Here is a 13,457-nt window from a genome sequence, read left to right as displayed (position 1 = left end):
GAGCACTTTGTCCCACTGTGGCGTAGCTTGCTAAGAAACTTAAGTTCTGACTGATGGAATGGGTGATTCCTCTCTGGCTAAATCTGGTCCAAATGCTCCCTCCATATCCAGGCACTGGCTGAGCCCAGCAAAGCTTTGCTCTCTGCCATGACAGGGCAACACTGAGTTCAATGTAAAGTTCCCCAGTCACTGCGCTCTTCCTCTCCCAAATGCACAGACTCTCCATGTTGAACAACTGTTGCTGGGGGTTAGGAGAAGGATGGCATTGGTGATTAAAGACTGTCTCTCCAACCCTCCTCAATGTCACTTCCAATCATATGAAGTTAAAACCAGGTACTGTGTTTGCTCACCTGATTTTTGGGTCTTGTGATAGTGTTTTTCAGTGTGCAGATAGCTGGTAAAATTTGGTATTCCAGTGAAGATATGAATGGTGCACGTATTCCCCATCTTGCTTTGTCCCCTCACAGGTATCTTTTTGACATACTGATTTCATATCCTTTGATACTCAGTAGTGGAACTGCTGAATCATATGGTAGTTCCATTTTAAGTTTTTGGAGGTACCTCCATACTGTTTTCATTAAATAATGACTGTATTAGTTTACATTGCAACCAATAGTGTACCAGGGTTCCCTTTTCTCCACGTCCTTGCCATCTCATATTATTTTTTGCCTTTTGATAAGAGCCATTCTAACAGTTGTGAGGTAATATCCTATTTCATCATTTTGAAGCATCCCTATTTTTTGATGAATACCCTTTAAGGTAAAAATTTCCTAAATACTGCTTTTGTCCCCCAAATGCTTGCATCATTTTCATTGTCATTCAATCCTAATATTTCCTAATATCTCAATTATTTCACTTATAATTGAAAGTTATTTCACAGTATTTTAGATAAGTTCCAGGAATTTAAAAACTATCTTTTTAAAATTGCTTTATAAGTTTATTGAATAATATTCAGAGACAATGTTTTATCTGGGATTTATTGAGGTTTACTTTTTAACAAGTTTTTGTTACCAGTTATTTTTTGTAAAGTTATGTTTTGTTAAAAATAATTTGTATTCTTTGCTTTAATGTTATGTAATTTTATACTGAGATACACAAAAAGATATATATACAAAATATAGCATATTTGAGTCGCACAATAAATTTGACATTATTCAAATTTTCTAAGCCATTGCTAATTTTTTTGGGGGGGTCTGATTATTGATTTCTGTTAGGGATATGTTAAAATCTCCAACTACAATTGTTTATTTCTTTCTTTCTATAACCCTGTCAGTTGTTGCTTCCTATCTTTAAAAGCTCTTTATACATTAAGGAACAAATTTGTCCATGATCATTATACCCAGGTATTTTTATTAGTTTTTATAATGCCTTAGGGCAAATTTGAAAAAGTACTGCTTCTTTACAGAAATGGCCTTATGAGCATACAATTGAGCAAAATTCTAGCTGCAGTTTGACCCTTTCTTGGCCCTTGGTCCAGTCTTTGTGCAAAGTACAGACTGTCTAATTCAAAGTGGTAGTAGTGGTTACATATTTTAAATTTAGTAATTTTTTCTAGAACATATATTTCTTTGTCCTTTATGACACTTTTGACATTGCATTCATTTTTTTTTCCTCTGACTACCATTTTTGCCCTAGATTGTCTAGTTACACACTTCTGTTTTATCATGGAATAAACATTTTATGTTTGAGCCCCTGTTATGATGGGCTATCATATGAAAGAGAATCTGATCTAAAATGTATTCCTATCTTCTATTGGACTGTTCAAATGTTCTTTCCCTGATAAAAGTAAAGTGTGGTATAATATGAAATACATTTGGTCTTTGTCTTGAGTTCCTAAAACCATCGGAATTTCTTAAGTGATAGAATGTCTTTTGTTACTGATCACCTCTGATAACTTTTGAGTTTATGCTAATGATTACTAAGGGTGGGTCCCCTGGGTATCCTCATGATAGGACCAGTCTACAGAGCTACAGAGGGACCAGGTGATTACAGGGCTGGAACTTTCAGCCCCACCTACTGACCTACAGAAAGAGGGTTGAGGGCTGGAGATTAAACTCCATAGAAACTTTTGAACAAGATTTGATGAGTTTCCAGGTTGCCCAAATCTCATCCTATGCATTTCTTCATCTGCATTTTTAAAAATATCTTTTATAATAAACTGGTAAACATGATTAAAGTGTTTAACTGAGTTCTGTGAGCTGTCCAAGCAAACTATCAAACTAAGGAGAGGGGCTATGGAAACTCCAATTTATAACTGGATAGGTCACAATCTGGGACTTGCAATTGGCATTTGAAATAGGGGACAGCCTTGTGGGACTGAGCCTTTATCCCTTTAAAATGTGAAATCTGATACAATTTCCAGATTACAGTGTCAGAATTGAACTGAATTACAGGATACTCAGGTGCTTTCTGCTGGCAAGTCGCTTGGTGTGGGAAAAAATCCCCACAAATCTGTTCACAGAGGTGTTCTGTGTTGAGTAGAATGTACAAAGAACAAAAACATTTTGGTTTTTCCTTTTACATAGGTATTCTTTTATTTTCCTAGAGGAGGGAAGGGTTCAATTTATTAAAGTTACAAATTTAAAACTAGTTCTCAAACTTTAAATTTCAGATTACACGTTATTCTATTGATAAGTGTATCACATTTAAGTACTTTTAAAAAATGTTTAATAATTTTGGTCCCATTTATAAACTTTGTTAATTCAACATCTTCAAACACTTTAAACCATGTTTGTCAACTTAATATGTCAGATATTGTTTAATTTCTGCAATTGTCTAAGTTACATAAATCTTATTTTAGTGTCTTATATCCTTCAAACATAATAAATCTAAAGCTGTCTTAGACATTCCAATATTCTGTGTAAAATTAAGACTCAATTAAAATTCTAAGTCAAATAATCATTTATTTAAAATAGGATGTATAAGTGTGTCATTCTAACTGGTCAAAATTTCTTAAACATTCCAAGTATGTACAATGTAAATTATGCACATATTTCTTGTTAGCTTCAACTATTATTTCCGTGATTCTTATTCCATTAAGCTTGTCTGTACTTAACCAGGTTGATCAGAGATTTCCAGTAAGCTTAAGACCTGTAGCTGCAGATTTTCTGAGCCATTCTTCCCACTGCACATGCTTTTAAAAATTATTATTCTCGCCTGTAATCCCAGCACTTTGGGAGGCCAAGGTGGGCGGATCACCAGGTCAGGAGATCAAGACCATCCTGGCCAACATGGTGAAACCCCGTCTCTACTGAAATACAAAAAATTAGCCAGGCATGGTGGTGTGCGCTTGTAATCCCAGCTACTTGGGAGGCTGAGGCAGGGGAATCGCTTGAACCCAGGAGGCGGAGGTTGCAGTGAGCCGAGATCGCACCACTGCACTCCAGCCTGGTGACAGAGCAGGACTCTGTCTCAAAAAAAAAAAAAAAAAAGAAAAAGAAAAAGAAAAAGAAAAAAATTAGTATTCTGATATTTGTTACTAATTTTAAATATCAGTCAGATTTTCATTATTTCCTATATATTAAATTACCGATTATCTATATCATTCATGAGTATAATTAGTTGGTTCTACCTAGATATACTCATATCAATATGTGATTGAAAACTGGTTCTTCTGAATTATTTTGAACTCTTACAATAAAATAACATATAGGTTGTCTAAAATTACAAAACAAGTCATGTTTCATTTTACTCTCGTTACATAGGTTATTGTATAGCATCTTGTTTTTCCTTGAATAGCATTTTGTTTTTCCTTAAATAAACAAAACCATCTTGCTTTCCTTAAATTCTTTTTCCACAAGAATCTCTTATCTTTAGAGATTATTACCGATATGTGATAAATAGGTCTGTAATGCCATTTTGATGATTAACATTACGTGTCAACTTGAATGGAATGAAGGAAGCCTAGGCTGGTAAAGTATTGTTTCTAGATGTGTCTGTAAGGTGTTGCCAGAGGAGACTGACATTTGAATATGTGGACTAGGAGAGGAAGACTCACCCAATCCACCATCCAGTCGGCTGCCAATGCAGCTGGAACAAAGCGGGTGAAGAAGGTGGGATAACCTTGCTTGCTAAGTTTTCTGGCTTCTTTCTTTTTCCTGTGCTGGATGATTCCTTTCACTCTTCCTGCCCTTGGACATCCAACACTAGGTTCTTTGGCCTTTGGACTCTGGAACTTGCACCAGTGGCTTGCTGGTGGCTCTCAGGCCTTTGACCACAGACTGAAGCCTGTCCTGTCAGCTTCCCTGGTTTTAAGCCTTTCAAAATGGACTCACACTTGGACTAAGCCACTACTGGCTTCTCCCTTCCCCAGCTTGCAGAAATTCTATGGTGGGACTTTGTCTTATAATCATATGAGCCAATTCTCCCTAATAAACTCCCTTTCGTATATACATATATCCTATTAGTTTTGTCCCTCTGGAGAACACTGACTAATACAGCCACCCTACAAATAAAATAAGTAGTCTATCTTACCTTTGTGGAGGAGGGACACTGGGTGACCATGATCTAGTCCTTCCTATAACATCTACTCGATGAGGAGACCCTGATGGTGAACAGTGGTTTGATGACATTACTTGTTCTGGCACTGATAATGTTGAGCTTTGAAGATCTCGACCATCATGTCGATAATCTAAAGGTAGAAAATTAATAAATATTATAGTTATGTATGTACAAAGTCCTTTGCGTCTCTTCTACTTTACTCAAAAACAAAATGTTGGTGAAATTTAAAGACTTCTAATATATTAAATATAAAGTATAGTGAATAAACCATGATATTAAGACAAAATATTTTATGAAAACAGAAATTAAAAAGGAATGACAGATATTCAAATATTTAGACAGTTACTATATCCAAGGCATTGTGCTGCGTAAAGCTTTTATATAAACTTAGAGTAAAATTTTACATACAGTTAATTATCTCCAATAGAAGACTCAAATTTATTCTAAAAATATTTTCATCTCTTCAATGACCTAGAAAAGCTTCAAATAATTCTTATCAATTATTTAAAATTATTAAGCTCATAAAAACTCCTAAACATTAACATCTTTTTTTTCAGTGATAAAAAGTTTTAGAAAACATGCTGAATACCTTTTGTAGTAGATGTGTAAACGGCTTTTGCTTTTTTTAAAAAATGAGATGGGGGTCTCACTATGTTGCTTAGACTAGCCTCAAATGACCCTCCCACCTCAGTCTCCCAAGTAGCTGGGACTACAGGCCCGTGCCACTGCACCTATCATTTTTCTTACAGTATATGACAGGGCTGAGATACAGTAGAATTCTGAGAATAAAAATATGACAAATCAGAAGAGAGTAACAACCCAATGATCTGACACATTTATACAAAGTATATTAGAAGAGATACTATCTAAAAGAGTAGCAGAAAGCAACTGGTATGTGGAGAGATGGAAGGAAAGTAGAAGGACTTCTAAGTTGGTAGGAAAACAACAGTTCAATGTGGGGAAATGAGCAGGAAAAGTACGTTTGACTCAAGTTGTAGATATCTAAAACATCATAAGGTTGATAATGGAAAGAGCCTGAAAATTTCTGAGCAGGAAGTAATATTATCACCACTACCACCATTATCTTCATCATACTCTTTGTGGCTATTAGTAATTGACCTTTTACTACGTGCTAGGAACTCTGCTATGCACTTTAAAAAAGTGTTCCATTACAACATTCGTTTCAGAAATAACTCAGAAAAACAACTGTTCATATGTAATATTTCCTATCATGATAATACTTTACAATATTAACTCACATTAGATTCCCTAGAAACAAGGATTCACCTGTACATGAATAAGTGAAGTAGTGCCCTCAGGAAGAAGGAGAAGAGCAGAATAGGGCAAGAAAAAAGGGAAGAAACTAAGCAATGATGTATTCTCAGTCTGATCCAACTGTATGCTCTGAAACATGAACAATTGCCCAGGGTTGGTCTGACTTTGAGGTAAGAGGCCTGGATTTTTGTACTCCTGTGTTAGCCATTCACTGGCTAAAGACTGCCAGTGGAGAGTCAGCAAGGTGTTTAACCTCATGGATGAGGTGGTTTCCATTTGACCAGGCAATTCTCCAGAGAGAGAGGGACAGCTGTGAGTTGTTAACAACCAACACTCCCCATAACTGAGGATGAGTAAACCAGCTGGTAAAGAGGATATGGGTGGAACATCAACAGTGTCCACTACAACTTCCAAATAATTGCAGTTGAATGTAAAGTTCACTAACACAGCGGGATGCAGCAAACCAGAGAAATACAGAACTGCACACAATGCTCATTCATCCCAAGAATCTCATGTTCCTCCTCTTGGCTCTTTGGTCACAAACTCTGTCTTAGATATATGTACTTGGTGGGTCTTTACTGATGTTTGTGGATAGTCCCCTTGAGTTCATAACTTTGCAGACTTATCCTTCTTTCCATCTAGATATACTCCTTTCATCTAGATATCTTCATTTTATTTTAGACTCCTATTATATAGTAAATATTTTTATTGCATAAAATTTAACATGACTTTTTAATTGTGTTATTTTATTTTTTACTCTTCAGTTTTCAAAGCTGCATGGGTTTTGAATGGTCTTTCCTAACCTTTCTTTCCCAGAAGCCCTGCTGTTTTTAGTCCATGATTATGCACAGCACAAGGTTTCCTCAGGAACACATATATTATGTAATACAAAACAACTCTGCCAAGATATTACCTCCATTTCCATTTGAGAAAACAGAGGTAAAAAAAATCTAAATTAAGTGTCAATACCACAGTTGAGACTTAAAAGAAGATACTTCTGACTCCAGTGCTCTCACTGTGTCCCAATAGTACATTCTGCTCTGATGATGGAAGTAATACTTTAGGAAAATGAAGCTGATAGCAGTATACAATTCATATTGAAGGATAGAGAGATTGCAGCAAGAAGATTAATTGTTCTTACAAAACTTAGAACAGTATTGTCCAATAGAACTCTAAAATGATGGAATGTTCTTCTATCAGTGCTGTCCAATTTGGTAGCCACTAGACACATGACTACTGAGCATTTGAAATCTGGATGGTATTAATGAGAATCTAAATTTTAAACATGTTTATTTTAAATTCATTTAAATAACCACATACAGCTAGTGGCTATATATACTATACATTTAGTAAAATAGAACAAGAAAAAGGAAAATCAAAATGCCAGAAGAGGAGGGCATTTTGCAATTTTATATAGGGTGGTTAGACTAGGTAACACAAATTGAGAAGGTGACATTTCAGAAAGAATTGAATGAGATGGTTTTCCAAGCTGATAAACACAGAGAGAAAGGTTCTAAGACAAGTGAAAAGGCCCCAAGGTAGCAGTGCGTCTCACATGTTCACAGAACAGCAAGGAGGATAGGGTGCTTGGAGTGGAGCAAGTGATGAAGAACAGCTATTGGAGACATTTGGAGGGAAGGGGGAAGATTATGTAGACGCTTGTAAATTATTGCAAACATTGTGGCATTTAATCTGAGTGATTTTAACCCATTCGTGGGTTTTAAGCAGAAATTGTGCATGATTTAACTTTTGCTTAAGGCTAGACAAGGTAGTAAGTCATACAGGCAATAACAGCAGCTTTAACTAGGATAATAACAGAGATTATAGAAGTGGATATATTTTGAAGGAATAGCAATAAAGACAATTTTGTGAAAGATTTGAGGGACATGAGAGAAAGAGAAGAGACAAGAACAAATCTAAAATTCTGACTTAAGTAAAATAATGAAGTTATCAAATGACATGGTTTGGTGGAAAAGATCAAAAGTTTAGTTTTGGACATGTTAAGCTGGAGATACCTACTACATTTCCAAGTGAAGATGTCAGGTGGGCAGTAAACTATAAGAATTTAAAGAAAAAATAAGTAGAATTGACTGGAGATATACATTTGGGAGTTTTAGCATATAGATAACTATTTAAAGCCATGGGACTTTAAACATGGGACTTGAGATCACTAGGAGAAGGAGTAAGATAGAGAAAAGATCCAAGAATAGAGTTCAGGCCATGCCAACATGAATCAGTAACATTTTGTGACTAGATGAAAAAGCAAAAAAAGAGCAAAAATTAATGCACCTTAACTTTTTAAGTTAGCCTATTAGGAAGTCAGAGTATACTACTGGCCAGCTGTGGTGGCTCATACCTCTAATCCCAGCACTTTGGGAGGCCAAGGTGGGAAGATCACTTGAGGTCAGGAGTTCAAGACCAGACTGGCCAAATGGTGAAACCCCATCTCTACTAAAAATACAAAAATTAGCTGGGAATGGTGGCATGTGCCTGTAATGCCAGCTACTCGGGAGGCTGAGGCAGACGCATTGCTTGAACCCGGGAGGTGGAGGTTGCAGTGAGCTGAGATCACACCACTACACTCCAGCCAGGATGACAGAGCAAGACTCTGTCTCAAAAAGAAAAAAAAAAAACTATGCTACTAAGATAAGAGTAAGAAAAGTTTATTAAGGTTGACTAGCTTGGAGAAGGGGAAATGAGGGTAGTTTCAGTTGCGTAGGTCAAATATTAAATATGTGGAAAAGAATCTTGAGAAAGATGTTAGGATTGTTGCTAAACATTTGAAAGTCATTTATAAAGAGATCATCATTGTAACCCAAGGAAAGATTACATATATAGATAGAAAAGAAGTCTGATTATTGAGTTTAAGAGATACCACTGAGAAAAGGAGAAGTTAATTCAAGAACTCAAATTATGCAGTCACATGGAGATTAAAAATAAACAAACATCTGTCCAAAATTAAGACATAATTAAACCCTCAACATTTTCAATGGGAAATAAATTATTTACATTTGTGTGTATTGTTTCAGGTCAGAGTAGAAAATAATTCTAAAATTGTACATGACTAGGTTTGATATTTTATCTATATATAGTCTATTTATTCAAGTTGTGAAGTGCATCAATAGGTTAAAAGGAATGGTTTATAACCATTCCCATTCCTGTTGCTCAGTATACTATGGGGGGGAAAACTCCATGCCTAGAATTGCTTACTTGAGAAAAATTTCCATACCAAAGTTTCAACTTACTTTAAAGAACATTAACAATGCAAATATCAAAGTTACCTCTGACTTAAAGACTTGGTATCAGAATAAGCCAAATAAAGAGCACATGGAGGAACTTCTAGTTTCTGTTTCTGTTTGTAAGGAGCTTGTAATGTTTTCACTGTCCTAACAACAAATAAAAAGCTGAACAGACTGAAAAAGCGACAAATTATCTTGGATCTGTAAAAGAGGGATGACACAGGGCAAACAACTGCCCCCAAGATTGAAGAGACAGGCAAAAACAGGGAGTCACAGCTTATGGAGAAGATACTTATGAGGGGAAAGCAGTGTGGGAACCAGTGCCAGAGTAGGAAAACTTGACCTTCAAATGACAAATTGCTAGAGGATCAGTTAAGAACAAGTCTGAGAGTTATAAACTCCACAGGAACCCAGTCATTGAGGTCTCTTACAATATTGTGAGACTCACCTCCAGGAGCTCCACCAGGTTCCCACAGTAAATATTGAAGAAAAATCTCCTCATGCTTCCAAGAGGGAGAGGGAAACAGGAACCATTTTGAAATACTCCAGAATGCCCTACTTTTCTTAACAAGACTTTCCCTCAGGGGAAACTAATTAACCAAAGCCTAACCAATCTGGGAGAAGGGAAATACCCAAATCTAGTCCACTCTAGCTTTCCACACAGGAGAAAGAAAACATTTCCAGCCCACTCTAACCATCTTGTTCCACCTAAGGGAGGAGGGAAAAAATGAGAACCACTTGAAATTTTCACAATCCAGAGGCTCACTAAGACTGAGACCTAATCATAGGAATATAGAATGTTTCCCTTCCCCGACCTTACCAGCACATTACTAAAGGCCTATTTACAGCAATTTCTTTTAACCAGCACATCATATCTGCCTATCAATAAAAAAATTATCAAGAAAAAACAACTACAGGCTGGGGATAGTGGCTCACACCTGTAATCTCAGCATTTTGGGAGGCCAAGGCAGGTGGATTACTTGAGGTCAGGAGTTGAAGACCTGTCTGGGAAACATGGAGAAAACCTGTCTCTACTAAAAAATACAAAAATAAACTGGACATGATGGTGCACACCCATAGTCCCAGCTAGTAAGGAGGCTGAAGCTGGGGGACTCACTTGAGCCCAGTAGGCAGAGGTTGCAGTGAGTTGGGATCGTGCCACTGCCCTCCATCCTGGGCGACTGAGCGAGTCCCTGTCTAAAAAAAAAGAAAGAAAAAAATTACATACCAAAAGGCAAAAAACACAATTTGGATAAAAAGAGCAAGTGTCAGAATCAGATATAGCAGGAATGCTGGATTTATAAGACTGAGAATTTAAAACCACTATGATTAATATACAAAGGGCTCTAATAAATAAAGTGGACAGCCTGCAGGAATAGATGAGCAATGTAAGCAGAAAGAAATTCTAAGAAAGAGCTAAAAAGAAATGCCAGAGACAAAAGAAATACCTGTAATAGAAATGAAGAATGCCTTTGATGGGCTTATTAGTAGACTGAACACGGTTGAGAAAAGAATCTCTGAACTTCAGGATATATGAATAAAAACTTCAAAAACTGAAAAGCAAAGAGAACAAGGACTGAAAAAATAACAGAAAAGAACATCCAAGAATTGTGGGACAACTACACAAGGTATAACATATTTGTAATGAGAATACCAGAAAGAGAAGAAAAAGAGAAAGAAACAGAAGAAAGATTTGAAAGAATAATGATTGAAAATTTCCCCAAACTAATGTCAGGAACCAAGCCACAGACCACAGATCTAGGGAGCTCAGAGAATACCAAGTAGGACAAATGCAAAATAATAACAACAAAGAGAAAAAAGAAAAACCCTTGAAAGAAGACAGAGAAAAAGAAGAAAACACTCCTCCTCTATAGAACAAAGATAAGAATTACATATGAGTTCTCTAGAGAAGCCATGCAAGTAAGAAGAGAGTGGAGTGAAATATTTGAAGGCTTGGAAGAAAAAAACCACCAACCTAGAATCCTAGGACCTGTGAAATTATCCTTCAAAAGTGAAGGAGAAAGAAAGACTTTCACAGACAAACAAAAATTTGGATTTTGTTGCCAGTAGAACAATATTACAAGAAATATTAAAGTAATTTTTTTTTAGAAAGAATGAAAAAGATATAGGTCAGAATTTCAAAGCTACATATAGAAAGAAAGAGCATTGAAAAAGGAATAAATGAAGGTAAAATCAAAAGCTTGTATTTTTCTTATTCTTAATTTATCTAACAGATAAGAATTAATTCAAAGTAATAATAGCAACAATGTATTCAATTATGTATGCTTAAATTTAAGTCGAATGACAGCAATGATACAAGAAGTGGGAGGAAGAAATTGGGATTTTCTAAGTATATGATATAACATTACCTATGAAGTATTACTTGAAAGCAGACTTGCATGAATTGCAAATGTATACTACAAACTCTAGAGTACCTACCCAAAAAAAAAGGTAAGAAAAAGAAGTATAACTGATATGCCAAGGAAGGAAAGACATATGATATGAAGGAAGGAAGGAATCATATGAAATGCTCAATTAAAAAAAAAACACTGAAAAAGAATAGAAGACAAAAATAAACAATGAATAAGGGTAACAAAAACAGTAGATATTAATCCCACTATATCAATAATCACTTTAAATGTCACTCATTTACATGCACTAACTAAAAGAGACTGTCAGATTCGATTAAAAAAATGAGGCTCAACTGTATAAGAAACCCACTTTAAATGGAAACAATCATATAAATTAAATGGATGGAAAAAAATGTACTATGGTAACACTAATCAAAAGAAGTTAGGAGTAGGCCAGGCATGATGGCTCACCATGCCTGTAATCCCAGCACTTTGGGAGGCTAAGGCGGGCAGATCACCTAAGGTCAGGAGTTTGAGACCAGCCTGGCCAACATGGTGAAACCTTGTCTCTACTAAAAATACAAAAATTAGCCAGATGTGGTGGCATGTGCCTGTAGTCTCAGCTACTCAGGAGGCTGAGGTGAGAGAATTGCTTGAACCCAGGAGGTGGAGTCTGCAGTGAGCTGAGATTGTGCCACTGCATTGCAGCCTGGGGCCTAGGTGACAGAGCCAGACTCTGTCTCAAAAAAAAAAAAAAAAAAAAGCAGGAGTAGGTACACTAATTTTAGACAAAGCTGACACCACAGCAAAAAAAAGTTATCAGGGATAAAGAAGGACATTCTATAAAGAAAAAGGAGCCAAGTCTTCAAGAAGAGATAACAATTCTTAATGTGTATGCATCTAACAAGAGAGTATCAAAATATGTCAGGCAAAAACTAATAGAAGTGCATAGAGAAATAGATGAATCCACCATTATAGTTGGAGATTACCGTACCACTCTATCAGAAATGAACAGATCTGCTTGAGCCTGAGATGCAGAGGTTGCAGTGAGCCAAGATTGCACCACTGCATTCCAGCCTGGGTGACAGAGCCAGACCCTGTCTCAAAAAACAAAACAAACAGGCTGGGCATGGTGGTTCATGCCCATAATCCCAGCACTGTGGGAGGCCGAGGCTGGTGGATTACGTGGGGTCAGGAGTTTGAGACCAGCCTGACCAACATGGAGAAATCCTGTCTCTACTAAAAATACAAAACAAATTAGCCAGATGTAGTGGCACATGCCTGTAATCCCAGCTACTCAGGAGGCTGAGGCAGAAGAATCACTTGAACCTTGAACCTGGGAGGCAGAGGTTGCAGTGAGCCAAGATCGCACTGTTGCACTCCAGCCTGGGCAACAAGAGTGAAACTCTATCTCAAAAAAAAAAAAAAAAAAAAAAAAAAAAAACAAGAACAGATCAAGCAGGCAGAAAATCAGTAAGAAGATAAGTGAACTCAAAAACACCATCAACTGAATATAATCAACATTTATGGACTACTTCATCATCAAAAATTAGCAGCATATACATTCTTCTCAAGTTCACCTGGAACCATTCACTAAAATAGAGCATATTCTGGGCCATAAAACACACCTTAGCAAATTTTTTAAAACATACAATGCTGCTCTGAGTCCACAATGAAAATAAATTAGAAAGCAGTAACAGAAAGATAACTGCAAAACCCAATAATATATTTCTAAATAACACATGGGTCAAGAAAAAAATCTCAAGGGAAATTTAAATATATCTTTAAATAAATAAAAATGAAAACAACAAAATTTGTGGGATGCAGTGAAAGCAGTACTTAGAAGAAAATTTATAGTACTGAATGTATATGTATATTAGAAAAAAAGCAATACCTAAAATCAGTCATCTAAATTTCTACCTCAGGAATCTAGAAAAAGAAGAGCAAATTAAATGCAAAGTAAGCAGTTACAAAATAAATAGTAGAATTAGAGTCAGTAAAATTGAAAACAGAAAATCAATAGAGAAAATCAACAAAATCAGAATCTGGTTCTTTAAAAAGATTAATAGAACAAATTAGCCTCTAGACAGGC

General features: G+C 36.1%; 1 protein-coding gene across 64 annotated transcripts in view; it reads right to left on the bottom strand.

The window, feature by feature from the left end:
* Positions 1 to 13,457, bottom strand: part of RIMS2 (regulating synaptic membrane exocytosis 2) — a 755,485-nt gene that overhangs the window by 276,115 nt on the left and 465,913 nt on the right. For all 64 annotated transcript variants that reach the window (NR_145710.2, NR_145711.2, XM_017014015.3 and 61 more), the window contains one exon: positions 4,474 to 4,630. Coding sequence is in view for 62 of the 64 variants with exons in the window: in XM_017014015.3 (XP_016869504.1) it covers positions 4,474 to 4,630 (157 nt within the window). In the remaining 2 variants the exon portion in view is untranslated. The remainder of the gene's footprint in view (positions 1 to 4,473; positions 4,631 to 13,457) is intronic.

This window comes from Homo sapiens, chromosome 8, assembly GCF_000001405.40.
Source record: "Homo sapiens chromosome 8, GRCh38.p14 Primary Assembly".
Lineage (NCBI taxonomy): Eukaryota > Metazoa > Chordata > Mammalia > Primates > Hominidae > Homo > Homo sapiens.
The sequence above is the reverse complement of the archived record's forward strand: the minus strand, read 5'-3'. Positions and strand labels throughout refer to the sequence as shown.